This window comes from Homo sapiens, chromosome 5 (assembly GCF_000001405.40).
Source record: "Homo sapiens chromosome 5, GRCh38.p14 Primary Assembly".
Lineage (NCBI taxonomy): Eukaryota > Metazoa > Chordata > Mammalia > Primates > Hominidae > Homo > Homo sapiens.
This window is the reverse complement of record NC_000005.10, coordinates 127647828-127664230: the sequence shown is the minus strand read 5'-3', so window position 1 is coordinate 127664230 and position 16403 is coordinate 127647828. Positions and strand designations below refer to the sequence as shown.

Below are 16403 nucleotides of genomic sequence, written 5' to 3'. Positions count from 1 at the left end.
AATCCATGGCATTTTAGCTGAGCTCTGGAAGCTACACAAATATCACTTTGGTGGTTTCCTTTTGAAGCTTCACTGCATGACTTGTATAAGTCATCATGCTTCATATGCTCGCCGTCCTTGAACATCTCCATGGACGTGCTCCATGGAGCTTTCCATGGGAGCAGTTGCTTACAATTACTGCTGCCAATTGACTTCTTATGTGCATTGAGATCTCTGTGGCAAGGCCCAGGACTCTCTCTCTCTCTGGCTCAGATATGTTCAAAATTTTATCATTAATGTGGATAAATAAATAGAAGGCTTGCTGAGCCAATTTACAGGTGATACAAAGATGGAGACTGCAATGAATACGATAATGAGGGAGTCAGGTATAAAACGTCATGCGGTTTTCAAAACAAAGTAAGTGATAATTTGATTCCCCTCATTTTAGTCAGACTACCTATGAACTATTATTTTCCTTTCTAGGTACCAAGGAGATGGTCAAACTGAAGAGCATCCAGAATTTTTGATAAGGATAAGAGATAATTCAAAGCACCTGAAAATTATATAGGGTGGTTGAAGTTGCTGGAATTGTTTATCCTGGGGGAATATGATAACCATCAAGAACAAGGTAGGATCTGAGATTTTACCCTACTTACAGGATAACTAGTTTGCCACAGTTTCATGGATGCCGGCAGAAGACACAAGACCTCTGGGTCAGAGGCAAAGGACAGTTTATCATTTACAGCAATCACAACACTGAGTATCAGCATTTTCCTGTGCCAATTCCTTAAGCTCCAGTTCCCACAGGGCAACACAAAAAAAGCCAGATGGTGCTTGCACACACAATGGGCTGCATTACAGGAGGGGAACTCTGAGCTTAGGAAAACCCAGTCTTTCATAATGGGCTGCAAGCAAACCTGCCCAGCCATTTTTTTAGGGAAAGGGAGATACGATCTCTAAACAAATCTCTTTGAAAAGAACAAAATATTGTCACTGCCTCTGCTGTAAAGACATGCGGAAACAGCAATGATCCATGGAGTGTGACTTTCAACAATAACTATATCTTGAGAGTTGTCATGTTAACAAGTATTAGAAATCTCTGTCACTCCAGAAGACAAAACAAGATTCCACTGGCAAAAATTACAGAAAGACAAATTTGGGGTTGATAAAGAGATATTTATAAACAACAGAACAAGCTAAAAATAGGATGGACACTTTAAGACATTAGACATGTTAAGGAAGAAACCAGGCAGCCACTTGTTGTTGACTATTGAGGAAAATATTAATATACCAGAGAAGCACTGAATGTAGTGGTTGTATTAAACTTCTTCCAGCACTCCAGTTATTGGAAAGTAGAGGGAAAAATAGAAGTGAAGTAACTAGGAAAAAAGATAGGACAGAAAAGGATAAAGTGTACTTTCAAACTTGAAATACTTAATTGTATATTTTCTGAGGTCACCTCTATGTCCCAAGAGGATCCAGATAACTCTTTGATAAGCCATAGATAGAGCAGAATCCAGAGCCTTTATAAACTTATGTTGTAATCTCCCTTGTCGAGCTTCTTCAGCTAAGAAAAACAGCTCAAAAGTCTACTAGGAAATTTAAAAAAAAAAAAAAAGAAAAACAAAAAAAGAAACTTTGATTCTTTATCCTAGATTGGTTATCCCGTGTTTTGAGAAACAGAATCTTTGTTAAGGCATTCTCTACAATCTAACGGGAAATACTTCTCGTTGCCTGGACACTTAAACTGAAGCTTCAGAATGTTCCAAAAGAAAATACATCATCCGTAGGACTTTTTTCAGAAACAAAATATGTCTTCCCCACTCCCTGCCAAAATAGACTATTTAATATTATTATAACTTTCATGTCAATTAACAAACGGGTATTTTTATTTATGGTTTTATCAACTGGCCCTTCTGTTTGAACTCATCTGCACACCACATATGTAAGATGCTACAGCTACAACCAGTGGGTGAAGAAGTGGCCATGGTCATGCCATATGACCTCTCTGCTTCTCTGTTTCTTTATATGTAAAATGAGGAGGTTGAAATAGATGACAGCAATGTTTCTTTCCAGCTTTTCAAACTCCAAGGAACCCAGGAAGAGCCTCTTTCTTAAAAGCTGGCATAAGTTTGGTGCTCTAGGGCTGGTCATAGGGCCTAGAAGAGAATAAGGGTGCAAATCTCTTTGAAAAGACAGTTTAAAGGAATTTCTCTTACTCTGAAGCACAGAAAGTAGAGAAACATCAATCAGGATATTGAGAAAGGCTGTAGGATGGAGGGATCTAAGAGGATCTTGTGGTGTTTTAGAAAAAGACATGAGTATAATTTATAGCAGGAAACTGAAGGCAAAATTTCCACTGTACTAAATGCAGCAGGGAACTTTATTCTAAAAACATGACCTTGGAAAGGACTAAAGACTGGCTAAAGTACTGGGCTTGGTTCACCTGACCAGAGCAAGATGCCAGATGGGGAGGCCTCATGTCCTCAGAGTAGACCCCTCTCTGAAAATAATTCATTTATTTTTGTTAGAAACGGGAAGTACAAACAAAGCTTAGAGGGTTCCCCGTTTCCATCTCAAAACAAAACAAAACAAAAAAAATCTCTTCTGGAGTAGGCCAGTTGGATCACGGATTGCATACATACATATAGTCATTTGGGCACTTTCTGGAGATCATGGCTCAACTCTACAACTTTTGGATTAATCAATAACTGAGACACCCATCTTACATAATTTTTCTTGGTCGACACACATCTCACAAATCATATCTTAGGTTTTATTCAATGTTTTTGGGCTTAGAAAATTTATTGAAAATAACCATGTTTCAATATATTTTACATGTCAATTCTGAAAGTTGACATCTTGAAACAATAAGGTTTTTTTTAAAAAAATCATTTATGGTGAACAAGTGAAATTTCTCATTGTACCAAATTTATCAGTATGTTCACATTATAAAAAGCTTCAGGCCGGGCGTGCTGGCTCACGCCTGTAATTCCAGCACTTTGGGAGGCTGAGGTGGGTGGATCATGAGGTCAGGAGATCGAGACCATCCTGGCTAACACGGTGAAACCTCGTCTCTACTAAAAATATAAAAAATTAGCCGGGCATGGTGGTGGGCGCCTGTAGTCCCAGCTGATCGGGAGGCTGAGGCAGGAGAATGGCGTGAACCCGGGAGGTGGAGCTTGCAGTGAGCCGAGATTCCGCCACTGCACTCCAGCCTGGGCGACAGAGTGAGACTCCATCTCAAAAAAAAAAACTTCAGTGTTTCAGTAAACACTGTGCAATGAATCCAATAAAAAAGGAACTTGAATACATATTTTTTCTGCATACATAAACATCTGCTCTATCTAACTTTTGCCTCCTAAAATTGTTTATTTTGCCTCAGCCTTAACCCTTAATAATAGCAAAAGAATTGCCTGTCTTGAAATGTTTATTAATTTAACAGCAGAGTCAAATTAGGCTCCTTCGCACCCAAGTTAAACTTGCTTTACGCAGTGTTTAAAATATTTTAAAAGGTCTCTTGGAGGGAGAAATGTTGATCTAGAACTTGGGATCTCTGGGGGAATAAAACACAGGGTTGTGATTCCGAGCTCAGGCTAAGAATGAGGTTGCACATTTTTCTGCATCAAAAGGCAGGTCTATTCTACAGAGTGACCTTGGGAAAGTCCAGGGTTTTTTCCCCCCATCCTGGGATGCAGATATACTCCATAAAGGCCAGCTGCACTCATTATAAATATCTTGTAAGATAGGCAAAGTGCTGCCCTGTAACTCCTTTAGCCAGAAAGCCAGGAAAGAGAGGGCTTATGTGACCTTTTGAGAATAAGTTGTTCACTCCAAGAAGCCCAGAGTAATTAAAACAAGAGAGTTAGCACTTCTTACAGGGGGGATCAATTTACTGTGAATAGCCCAAAGCTTTTTTTCACTTGTTATGGTATTCTTGCTCTGGACAAGGAAGGAGGCAGGAGAGCCAGTGAGGGGAAGTTGAACAAGGAGCAGTAATCTGAGAAGGGAAAACAAAAATAGAGTGGGAAATAAAGGGAGGAGTGAAAGAAGGGCAGGCTTTGGGAGGCCCCGTGGCACTTGTGGGCAATGCCTGTGTTCAAAGGTCTCTTAGGGGGCAGGTAGCTATTTCAGTGTGTTCCCATTATAGAAGTGGATCCTGGTGTTGCCCTGAGGAAGGGCACGGAAGCTGGAACTGACACACCACTCTTTAGGTCATTTTTTTCTTCGTGAATCTACGGTGACTCCCACCCTTGATTTTTCTGTTTAGGATCCTCTGAGGTCCAGCCTCTGCCTTTGTCCTTCCCTTGTGAGCTCCAGCTGCCTCTCCAACTCTCTACTCCAGCCAGGCTGCACTCCTGCCTTCGGGTCCCACACTCATACCTCTGTTTCCTTATTCTATGGTTTTCCCTCTTCCTTTCCTTTGCACATATCTAAACTACCTCCATCCTCTCAGGTCAAGATCTAATTTATTTCATAATAATAACTTACATTGCATTGAACTTTATGCCAAGCACTTAAACATGCACAATTATACCTGAGCCATTGTCTCGTGGACATTTCCTTAATTATTTTGGCTACATTCATCTTTCCTCATGTTTTATCTCTTGGAGCATTTGTTCACTAACCCAACTCTACAGAATCAACCTGTAGGGATGAAAGGCTGTAATAATCTCCATTGTCAATAAACTACCCAGGAAAAATTGGAGTTAGGAGTTAGGGTGAACTAAGCTGGTAGAATTTTGACCAGTGATGTTTATATTTTTCTATATTGTATAATAAATTTTTTGCCATGATGATGTACAACTTTTATAATGAAAATTAGCTATTGTGCCACTGCACTCCAGTGGGCGAAAGAGCAAGACCCCATCTCTTAAAAAATAAAAAAAATAGAAAGTAAAAAAATAATAAAAATTAGCACACATATTAACCTCCCCAGTTGATTCTGATGATGTGGGAACCATCAGGTCCATGTTAGTCATTTGAACAATGATTCAGTCATATGCCTTTTTAAATGTATTCTCCATCCAACAAGATAGAAAAGTATTCAACATTAAGAACTGGCCCTGTGTGTTTTCTGTCTTTCTAGTGCTAGCAATTCCAGGCTCAAAGCAGGAGCTCCATAAATACATGAGTGGGTTTGAATAGACTCTAACAAAAATACAAAAAAAAATTAATGAGGACACACATGACACAGTACATTTGAAAGAAAAAGAAAATCTTATAATTAATAGGTTAAAGAAGTGTGCTTTTTTTAATCAAAAAAGGTAATGACTAGCTGAGGAGAAAACTAGAAGACATAGATTATAAATACAGCCTAACGGGGTTGGTTTAGGCTGAGTTATCTGCAGGGTTGGTTTAGACACAAGCTTTTCCTTCCAACAAAAGTTGGAATAAGAGGTATTCACATCTCCCTTTTTGGTGGTCTTAAAAACTATCGGTTTTGTCTGTGCAGGACAATTTATAGGAGCTCTTCTTGAAATGGGAGAGGGATGAATTAGATGAGCTTTCATGCTGTTAACTCTTTTCTCCTCTCTTGGAAAAATGTTAAGCCTCAGCACTTAATACCAGGTAGCACCCTCAGTGCATTAGTTCTGGTGAAATAAGAGAGGAAGCATTTCTGTTTCTTGAAAAGTTTTATTTGGTGACTATATACAATCATAAATACACATTCCTCTGAAGACTATAAAAGTCTTCTCCTCTAAACAATTAACTTTTCATTGAAAAAAAACTTTAAGCTGCACTTGCAACCTATTTTTTAAATCATTTGTGTAAAGTGTAAATTCAAGTAATGTATAGCTACCTCTACACATGTTATTAATATGAATACATATAATGTAGTTGGCTTGGTAAATAGTTTTTAAAACTTTGTAGCCTTTGAATTAAGTTTTACTTGAAAAACAAAACGCTATTCTCACTCACATTTACCAAGGACAGAATCATCTCTTTTAAGCTTTTCCATTGCTTCCCAAAGCTCCCTGCTTTGGGAGAAAACAAGAAACTACTTTGGGTCCATTCAGCACAATCTTCCTCATTCTGCTCAGGACCCAGATAGGTGCCCATGAAATAAAACAAATATAGACATAATTAGAGCAAGGAAATCTCTTCCTGGCCTTGTCACCAGATTCATATGAGATCCTTTCTAGTCTTTTATTCTTTAGTCAGATCAGGTGGTGTTTTGTTTGATGGCAAATCTATGTCAGTATTAACGCTCTTGGTTTCACAATCACACAATTTTAAGAGTACTCATTCATTGAGCAAACATAAAAATTTAAACCTTCTTATGTTGGATTAGTTATATAAGTGTCCATTTCCAACATCCTCAAATGTCTTTAACCCAACTGCATATTTATGGAATAATGGATTATGGTCCTGGGACCAAATATTGTTTAAATTTGATTTGTTGAGAACACTAAATAAAGGGAATCCTCACCAAGACACAAAGCACTTCATCTCCTCAGGAGGAGATCCCACACCATCCCTCCTAAGCAAGGGCATGGTCGAACTGCCCTTTCTCCAGGCCTTCAAGTCCATCAGCCCAGGTAGAGGTTGGCATGCTTCGATATGGATCCAAAAGAATCCGGAAGCACCGGACAATGAGAATGCCCAAGAAAATAAACAACAGAATCACAAAAACAAATGTCATTTTCTGCTCCAGGGACATGCTAGAATCTGCTGATTCGTTCCCAAGGGGCACTAGGGATGAGGGGATGGGCTGTCCTCCATCCATGGTCCAGGGAAGCCAGAGCACAGGATATCCTGGTTTTCTTTTCTTCCATCATCAATCTGCGGAGGTCATGGTGGCTGCACTCTGGAGAGGCTGAGTTATCTGCAGGGAAAAAGGAAGGGAAAGGAATACCTATAAAATAGCAGCCTTATTTTTTTAGGTTCACAGTCATATTTTTCAGAGAGAAAAAGAAATCTGTAAACCAGCTTTCTTTTTCACCAGAGATGCTCAATTCTGTATAATTATCGGGAAAGATATTTTACTCTTGCATGAAATTACCAGATTGTTCTCAGAAGAGCCACCTGGGGCCAGGAGGGATGGGCAGGGAATACGACTATAATATAGAAGATGAGAAATGTGCACAGTAATATTGACCTCAGGGTGTACTGTCAACTTGACATCTGAACCCAGCCTCCCCTGCCAAGTCTCCTCCTGCTCTGCTCCACTAATATTACTCTCACATTGTTCTTACGATAGCGCCATTGAGGGAGCCTCAGCTATGTGTCAGCACAGTGGCTAAACTTGAAACATGTTAGCCACTTTACTGCAAGCTTCACGAAAGCAGGGATCTCTTTAGCCCCAGTGCAAGGAAACTGAGGCTAGAAAAGGTGCTTAAAATAGAAACCTTCTCCAGGAGCATTGGGTTCTGGGCTCCGGGCTCCACTCTACTGCAAAACGGGTGTGGGACCTTGGAGAGGTCACTAAGCTGTAAAAATGCAAGTAGCAATGCCTGCATCTTTCATGGTGCTGTAATAAGGATGAAGAGCTGTGAAAACCCTTTGAAAAGTATACAAAAAAGAAAAACAAACAAAGCCAAGTGTTGCTTCACCTAAGACACAACTAAGGGAGCTATGCTGCTTCTCCTTTCCTTTCTACTGCCTGAGCCAAGGGAGAACGGAGGTATCTCAGTCTCCCAAACTATCAAGTTACTGCTGCTTTTTCTTTTTTCCTCAGAAAACAAAGACCAGGTTCAATACTTGACCCTGGGAAGCACCTAGAGAATTAAGCCAAGAGAAAGGAATTGATCGATGCATATTTTCAAAAGGACAGTTTTCCTTAGAGTGGCTTCCTACCATTTAAGACTATTCAGTAGAGAGGAAGAGAAGGAAAAGGACAAGCTAACACTATTTTAATTTTACTGGTGGAAAAACTTAGATATGTAGATATTACTGTATAAATATACAAGTGTATATTACCGTATAAATATACAAGTATATACATGACAAGTATACACAGAGGTCGTTAAAAGCTTCAGATACTGAACGAAATCTACTTAAATCACATCGTAAATAAAAGTATATACATTAGACACTACTACTATATAGAAAATTAAATGATATTTATTATGAATTTATTTATAATAAAAATTACAAAGCACAGTAATTAGCTACGGAAATTAACACGGACACAAAATAAATTTTGCTCAATGAAAATAACCAAATAAAAATAGAATATGTGACCTAAAGCATCAATACAATGTTCCTTCAGTTAACTTATAATCATTGCCTTCAAGTACAGCATTAGTAATCATAGCATAACAGTTTGCATTATATTGACACTTCAAAGTTTGTAAAATTACAGTTTAAAAAACAATTTATAAGGGGGATCCCAGCCAGGATCTGGGAGGAAGGAGTTACCAGTCGGGTAATGCATCATTTTTGCAGCTCTATCACTTTGAATTTTTTTAAAGGCTATAACAGTTGCAAAACTCATTTATAATTCATGTTTGTTTGGAAGTAAGATTGGGATAAAAATTTGACCGCATTTTAAAAAAATAAGCTCTTTAGGAATTTAGAGGATATTAATGCACTGGGTTTTGTTTTGGTTTGCTTGTTTCTAAGCACCCTCCTAGCCTTGGGTATTAATTCCTTGTGGGCCAGGAAGGGAGGGGCAGGAAGGGAGGCCAGAGCCTCCAATGCAGGTCTCCTCAGCACATCAGACCAGGGCCATCTGTGTCCACCAAAAATATTCAAACTATACTTAATCATATGAAATATAAAATTCTCCAAGGGCTGGGCCAAAGGAAAGCCCGCTGATGACAGAGGAGCAGATGCTGAGGCCATCCCTGACATACTCCTTGCTTTTTCATATCCTACTGAGGATCCTCTCACTTTGATTCCTGCTCTCCTTGCAGGATTATCAGAATCTCATTCTATGCCCTTTTTCCATCCAGCCCAAATGAGGCCAGAGTCCTGTTCTTTGTCCATTCTCAACAAAGCCGAGACAGGTATGCATTTTCAGAAAGTCTTTTTTTTTATTTTGAGACGGAGTTTCGCTCTTGTTGCCCAAGGTGGAGTGCAATGGTGCGATCTCAGCTCACCACAACCTCCGCCTCCCAGGTTCAAGTGATTCTCCTGCCTCAGCCTCCCTAGTAGCTGGGATTACAGGCATGCACCACCACGCCCAGCTAATTTTGTATTTTTAGTAGAGACGGGGTTTCTCCATGTTGGTCAGGCTGGTCTTGAACTCCTGACCTCAGGTGATCCACCCACCTCAGCCTCCCAAAGTGCTGGGATTACAGGCATGAGCCACCATGCCTGGCCATTTTCAGAAAGTTCTTTAGGAAAACACCATATAATCCAAAAAGGAAATATAAGAAGAGAAAAGACCATTAACTGTATAACTGATGTAAGGATTTCTGGATCTGTGAAATCCAAAAATTCAGGTAAGAACTAGATAGAGAACCTTTTGAGTCCTTGAGAATGACCTCCTCAGCACAAGCAGGCTGACTAGGACGGTGATACCTTGCTCAGTCCCTCCCTTCCCACCGGGGATCTCCACTTGATGAGCAACATTGTGACCCCAGGAGTAGTCTTCCCCAGCCTTCTCTTCCATACAGGGCAAATGCCAAATCCTTCTCTCCTGGATCAACTCTCATACTTTCTAGGCTTCACCCACAACTCAGGATTTACAGCGAGCAAACCATTCATTTGGGGGCTGCAGTGGTAGGCAACCATTCCAGAAATTCCAGCAAATAACTTATTCATCCTGATTCAGATTATCTGCCATATCTGCCTCTTCAGTCACCCTAGGAATGACTCTGGGACTCAGATTCTGCACGAGGATGCCAAGTATTAGAATGATTTTTAAAATCAGTTTTAATTTGAAGTTTTACCATCCTCTACTGATTAAAAGGCAAGGTACAAAGGAAAGGTTAACCCTCTTTGCATTGAGAAGCCTCCTAAAATATAAATATGTGTATACTCCAATGTCTTCATCACCAAACCTTTCCTGATATACCAAATTATGAGCAAATAGAGGTGAAAGAATTTTTAAAACTCTGTAGCACATTGGGAGTTGTAATCCTCTCCTCTCCCAGCACACTGTGGTGCCCAAGTTCCTATAAAAATAACTGCTTTTGGTCAAAGTATCAACGTCTCCTACTAAATTGCAATATTTTACCTAGGAAAGTGGCACATTAATGTGCTAGCAGGAATTTGTGAGGACCGTTCCCACCTGAAGGAGGGGAAAGTGTGGTAAGTAGAAAGGCGATTGAAGGAAGACCTAGCTGGGAATGAGGGACTCCTGGACAGGACAGGAAGACAGGCATGGTGGTGTGAACAGGGGGCCCACTGGAGAGCCCTAGGGGAGGGATGAGGGATGGTGGGTAGAGACAATCAGGAGGTGGTTGCTAAAGGGATAAAGAGATCCAGAAACCAATGCTGACTAATTCACAATTTTGCCCAGGACTGATTGAAATCCCTGGAAGAGTCTGCTTGATTTTAAACCTGCAATCAGCTAATCAATAATTTACCGATTTAGAAAGCTCCAACAGCATGTATAAGTTGAAGGAAGCATCAGCTATTATAAGGTGGAGAAAAAGAAATAAATGTAATCATTTTGCTACCACAATACAAAAATATCTCAAGACATGTAAATTTTTAAATGTCTGTCTCGCAGTAAAATGTCCCTTTTTGGTAAAAATGATTCTTAGAAAATGTGCAAGTTTGCTTTTAACTGAATAATGACATCTTTCTTTTAGATGACCAGGGAAATCTGTGCAAGTCTATTATTTCAAAGGATTTTGATACCACCATCAGAAGCCTTCATAATAACACATGGCAGCTATTTTAAGTATAAAGAAGGACCACAGTTACTCACAGCCATATTTTAATCCTGATAGGCTTTCCTCATCACGCAGTACATCTGTGTCTTCCCTTTGTCAGGTCCATTTGTGGGTGCTCAGGAAATAGAGTCTAATTTTAATACTGAAAAATTAAAGAAAACCTTAATTAAAAGATACCCTTTTCAAAAGTCATATAATACATTCCCTTGCTCGAGTCAAGCTCCCTTGTGATACTGACAAAAACAGAAGACACCCATAATTACTTACGAAGCCCAGCAGGCGTAGTCATTGCAGCCAGGGTCATTCACACTCTTAGTCACTTGCTTTAGTTTTAGTAATTTTCAAAGTGGCGTTCCTCATCCCTTGCCCATGCTTCCTACACACTGCATCTCGATTCATCTTTTTAAGCCCAGATCTCACCACTCTTCCCCTCAGAAAACCTTTGCACCCCAGTGTCCACAGCCCATTAACCCCCTTGTGGGCCTGATGCCCAGATGTTTTCCGGACCACAGATTAGGACCTATGCTGACAATGGAATTTTTAAGATCTGAGTTTTATTTTTATAAGTTTAGAAAGGAGTCAACACCAAATCACATTTAGTTCTCAGTAAAATGGCCAATGTGTTGATCAGAATAAACTTCCGTGTAACTGAGTCTGTGGACACCTGTGGAGAATGTCCTCATTTTGTCTGTTTTTCAGCTTGATCCAATACCTGCTGTGCTCTAACACCTCCAGGTTTCCTACCTCATAATACTTGCCTCCTCTCCTTCTTTCCATCTGTGGAGAGGAGGGGAGGCAAGCACTATGAGGCAAGCATCTTTCCTCTCCTTCTTTCCATCTCTCCCTCCCTTAGGGTTCACACCAAATACCCACTTCTCGGTGGGGCCTTCTTTGTTTCCCTTCACCAAGGATGGGGTGTTTTTTACTCCATCTCCAGAGACATCACCTGTACTCGGTGGCAGCACTGATTACAGTGCGAGTCTTGACAGTGTTTATCTCCTCCTTATTACACAATAAGCTCCTTGAGGAATTATTTGCTGTTCTGGGATCATTGCCTTTTTAAATATAAGTTAAATCAAATCTTCAACCCCTTACAGTCCAGGGAACTGAATTCAAAACCCGAGGTGCCAGCTAACTGATGCAGAGAGGAAAAACAAAAGCACAAGTCATCAAGCCGGACTGAGGTGCTGGACCATCACATTTGAAGTAAGTCTTGTTTGAAAGAAAGACAGCTAGTTCAAGTCACAATGACACTTTAAAACCCACAGATCTTGTAATTTGAAGAGCCATAAGTTATTTGGCTCATTAAATTTTCCTTGGCCTCCGTGTTGATGGGTGGAATCTGAAATATAAAAATCAGCCAGAAATTGAAAGTTACCCTTTTATTTAAGAGGTCAATTCTTTCTTACCTAATCTACTTTTTGGTGGGGAAGGGCAGCCATTTAAAATATCCTGAATCCAAATGTCTTACACAAAAACTATTAATGTCAACATGTACCCTTCTCAGGCTTGGATCCCTTGGACATTTTATTTCATTAGCATCTCATTATACAATTTCACAGTAAGGAAAAAATACTTTCTCTGAAGAAAATGTATCTTAAAGCAATGACATGTTTCTTTTCTTTTTTTTTTTTAAGTGACAGCGACAGAATTACTTAAGTGCATTGGACACCTTGTTCTGTGGAGCCACACACAGGGACTTGATTCTACAGGTCATCAACTCAAGAGCCCACCCTTTTGCAATAGGGTGCAATGATCTAATTAATAGTTGCAGTACCTGTGTAGTCCTGCCTGGCACATAGTGGGGATTTGATAAGTAGGTGGGGATGAATGAGTGTTTTCTTTTTACACCATTTTTGTGCAAAATGTTATTTATTTTTAATTTCTATTATGTGATCAAGCACACTAAGGTATGAAAATTATAAATAAACTGCCCAGAATTATAAAAATCGTTACCAAAAAGGTAGCACCACCCCCTACCACCCCAACGCCAAATGATGGTAGATCCCTAGTTTTTCACTGGCACGTTGGAATGAATTGAAGGTGTCATCCCTCAGGTGTTAACGGCCTGTAGGGTGCAGTGAAGCAATGCTGTCTGTATTTTAAATATTCCTAAACCACATAATTGCAGTACCTAATTTTTAAAACTTCTGGATCAGAAACCTAGTTACGTGACTTGACGTGGTTTCAAAAGTAGGTGTCAAAACAGCCCATCCATTGAGCAAGGACACTCTTGGGCTTGTCCAGTTTCCATTCACATGTGATAGACAGGACACTTTATCCTGCAAAGATATACTATCAACCTTATTTATATTTATCTGGCAGACTAGCGAGACCAATCTTTAGACTTTAACAGGAACGGAATTGCCTAGCTAGGCAGGACTGAATTTGCGGTGACCAACAGAGACAAACTTACTCAAAATGCTGCATTATTCTGCAACAGTTCTGAAGTTAACTGTGGAAATGTTAACATGGCTTTGAATGATTCAAGTAATACACATCCTGATACTGAGCCTAAATAGAATCCCTCTCTACTTTTAGCACTAAAGGAAGCCTGGGCTGCATTCCTGTTTGTATAACTGTAGTCTCTCAAAGTACATTTCATTCTCCAACCCACTCACCCACCCTAGATGTGTAAATCTCCCAAATGATCCTATTATCCATCCCCACCACAACTGTGAGTCATCTGTATAAGCCACCTCGTTATCTAAGCAACAGAATCACCACATAAGCAAATATTATTCCCCTACAAATCTTTTAGAAATTCTGTGTATTATTCTAGTGAACAGTAACTTGCATTCAGGATATACACACAAAGATACAAAATATTTCATATAAATTCAAAGAATTCATGGCCCTCTTGCTTACCAGCAAAGAACTTCAGGTAAAGATTTCCTGGCTCTTTCTAGGTGTTTCATAGATTTTAAATCCTCCCACTCCCCTTGTTTTTGGCTCATATACACGGCAACATCTCTATATTTTTTTCCAAGTACAGCCCTCCTGTTCCAATACAATAGCCCTGATGCTTCAAAATTCAAAGGGGGGCTAAGGGTAAATATATTTTATACTCTCAAAACATAGACTCAAGTCTACTAGAAAGCCTACGAACAATGATTTCATAAACATGAGGATGTCTTCAGCTACAGATGTCAACAGGCAGTTTCAGAACTGTTGCCAGCCCCCACTGCTGCACTGGGAAGTCTGTTCTCTGCTTGTTTCTGCAAAGTCAGCCTGCAGACACGTCTGCTTGGGCTGGGAGTGGACCCTGTTATTCTCAACTCACTGCTGCTTTTAAGCTCTGGGTCAGCAGGAGACCTTTGTCTTCAGCCTCAGCCCCAATCTCAGCTTTACTTCTTCCCCATCTTCATCTTCCTCTTAATATCTGCTTGAGGAATTTTTAAGGGACTGCAGGGCAAGGCTACTGCCTAGCTGAGAACATCAGAAAACACCATGAGGGTGCCTAGTCAGGAATCGGTGGTATCAGAAGGCACCCTTAACGAACTGGAACTTTTAACTTCAAATAATAAGCCCTACTGTTCCACCTGGTTTTCTTTGTCTTTCTTTGTGTGTTTCATAGTGAAAACGGCTACTTGCTGATATCTCAAAAGGATAGTGCTGCACACAGCTTATCAGCCAGGGACAGTCAACGCTGTCAATATGAGTGGTTGAGTTGTGATCCTTTGTAAACAAATCAGAACATCCTTGTTACATTTTGGAAGGTTGGACGTTTTAGGTGACTGAAAAAAAAAATACGATAATGGGCAAACAGCTTTCAGAAATAAATTACTGCAGCTTAGGAAAGAAAAAAAAGCCTGTTTTACTACTTCTTCATCCAGTATCAATAACATTATAAACTTAACCATGCTTTAAAAATAAAGGCATCATTACATTTTACCCCCTCGCTTCTTAACTTTATCTAGCAATTGTTTAATTAGACTTATCTAACAGCTAGATCTAAATTCACAACTATGATCCGAAAGGCATGTATGCGATGATTGCTCATGCATCAATTGTAAAGTTAGAGAAAAGCATTTAATTAGCCCGTCAAAGATACAGGTTGGGTCAAGTACCTGGCTCTGGCTGAACAAACACTTGATCCATTTCCTGGTGGAACAGTTACAGGTAGTTACAAGCCTCTTTAGTTTCCATTCTTCCCGACCACGCTGTGTGAAAGCAGTAGACAGTGGTAGCTGCAAGGCAGCTGATGGCACACCCCAGGTCTAAAGCTGTTGTTTCAGGCTTAGAAACTTCCCATTAAAACCCCGAGTTAAAGGAGCATCGTCTTTCTGTGTGAGGCATCATTAACGGCCAATACTGCTGCTTCTTTGAGGTGAGCCATGATTTCAGTTCTGCCTCAGCAACTCTTCAGAGGATTCTGCTTCAGCGAGTAGAGGCAGTATCCTAGCAGTGTGTCTGAAATCATCTTCAAGAAAGCATTAACATTCAAAAGGAGTACGGGGTTGGGGGGTGGGGAAACATCACAGGCATTCCTATACCTTTTCAAAATCAAAGCCATAAATCTACCAGTGCTCTGTCCTCTTTATTGATTGTTGACACTATTCCTCTTTGGGAGTGTCAATTAGCACGTCGCAGCAAGTCTTCATATTGATTATTGTTGATGACCTTCAGGCCAACTCAATTAACAGGAAGACTTCTGGGGAAGGGCATCAACTTAGCATTTGGGAGAGGGAGAAAAGGCTCATTTTCCTAAAGAAAACTAAAGTGACCTTTCCAAAAAGCAGCATTTATGGGAAGGAAAGAACCATTTAAAAATATCAAAATCATAGTTTCACCACCTGTCACCTGCTTGTAAATTAGCTGGGCAGTTGGTTGCCAGGTCCAGTGTCTCTCTGAGCAGCCTGCATAATTGTGGCATTGGGAAAGCCCCCACCCCACACAGGGCACCTGAGACCACTCGATGAATAAAGAAGATTGATTTTTGTGAGAGAAAGTTGTTCTCATTCTGCAGATTCTAGTTACTTGCTACAATGCTTAAATTACTTTCGTTGGATAAGTAAATTTGGAAAATATTTTAGGATAAAATTCTTCATTAAAAAAACACTTCTCTAAGAAGAATTCAGCCTAATGCTTAAGACGGAGCATCCTTGTTTTTTGGCAACTCACCACTTTCTTTGTTGAAGTGGCGGCACAGTTAGCGACAACACACCCACCCACCAAATGATGGGGTGCGTGATATTTAAAGCTGCCTCTGACTGTGCCTGTCAGCTATGCTGTCTCCTCAGCTCTTGTGAGCAACCGGCCATTACCCAAAGGCTCTAGGAAACTGGAACCAAGCTCATCTTCTAAGAGGGAAACCCCATCTGCTCACAACGGACCACAATCCTGGATAGGATAGGCCTCGGACCCCAAAGGAACCTTTCAAATCAAATGCTAAATGTTAGGATCGAATGCTTGATGTTAGAGTCTAACCTCAAGACAATATGCAGGTTCTTTCCCCATTTGTTTTCCTAATTTTTAACTGAATTTTCTTTCCAATTCATTTTACTTACCCTATTTTCAGACACACACATACCACACACCGTAAGACAATGGGACACATGAAATCCAACTGAGCACGATCATCCTGTACTAACTGGCATCCCTCTTGCATTTAGTCAATTCTGGCAGAGG

General features: G+C 40.2%; 1 protein-coding gene and 1 long non-coding RNA gene across 3 annotated transcripts; one reads left to right on the top strand and one right to left on the bottom strand.

Annotated features, from left to right (window-relative positions):
* Positions 1 to 468: 468 nt before the first annotated feature.
* Positions 469 to 12488, top strand: LOC105379164 (uncharacterized). The gene is made up of 3 exons (XR_002956226.1): positions 469 to 607; positions 11870 to 11978; positions 12410 to 12488. It is a non-coding gene; the product is annotated as an uncharacterized LOC105379164 (long non-coding RNA).
* On the bottom strand, positions 5601 to 15149 carry CTXN3 (cortexin 3). 2 transcript variants are annotated; one of them, NM_001048252.3, is made up of 3 exons: positions 14843 to 15149; positions 10808 to 10914; positions 5601 to 6808 (listed from the first exon to the last, which is right to left on the bottom strand). In NM_001048252.3, the coding sequence occupies exon 3, from the start codon at positions 6707 to 6709 to the stop codon at positions 6464 to 6466; it is 246 nt and encodes an 81-aa protein (NP_001041717.1). In that variant the 5' UTR covers positions 6710 to 6808; positions 10808 to 10914; positions 14843 to 15149; the 3' UTR covers positions 5601 to 6463. The 2 variants fall into 2 exon arrangements, with proteins under 2 accessions (NP_001041717.1, NP_001120857.1); NM_001127385.2 differs by lacking the exon at positions 14843 to 15149 and adding an exon at positions 11040 to 11181.
* Between the last annotated feature and the right edge of the window lie 1254 nt (positions 15150 to 16403).

What these genes read in the sequence shown, in the direction of transcription:
- CTXN3 (NM_001048252.3), bottom strand. Translation starts at nt 6,709, where the DNA reads ATGGATGGAGGACAGCCCATCCCCTCATCCCTAGTGCCCCTTGGGAAC.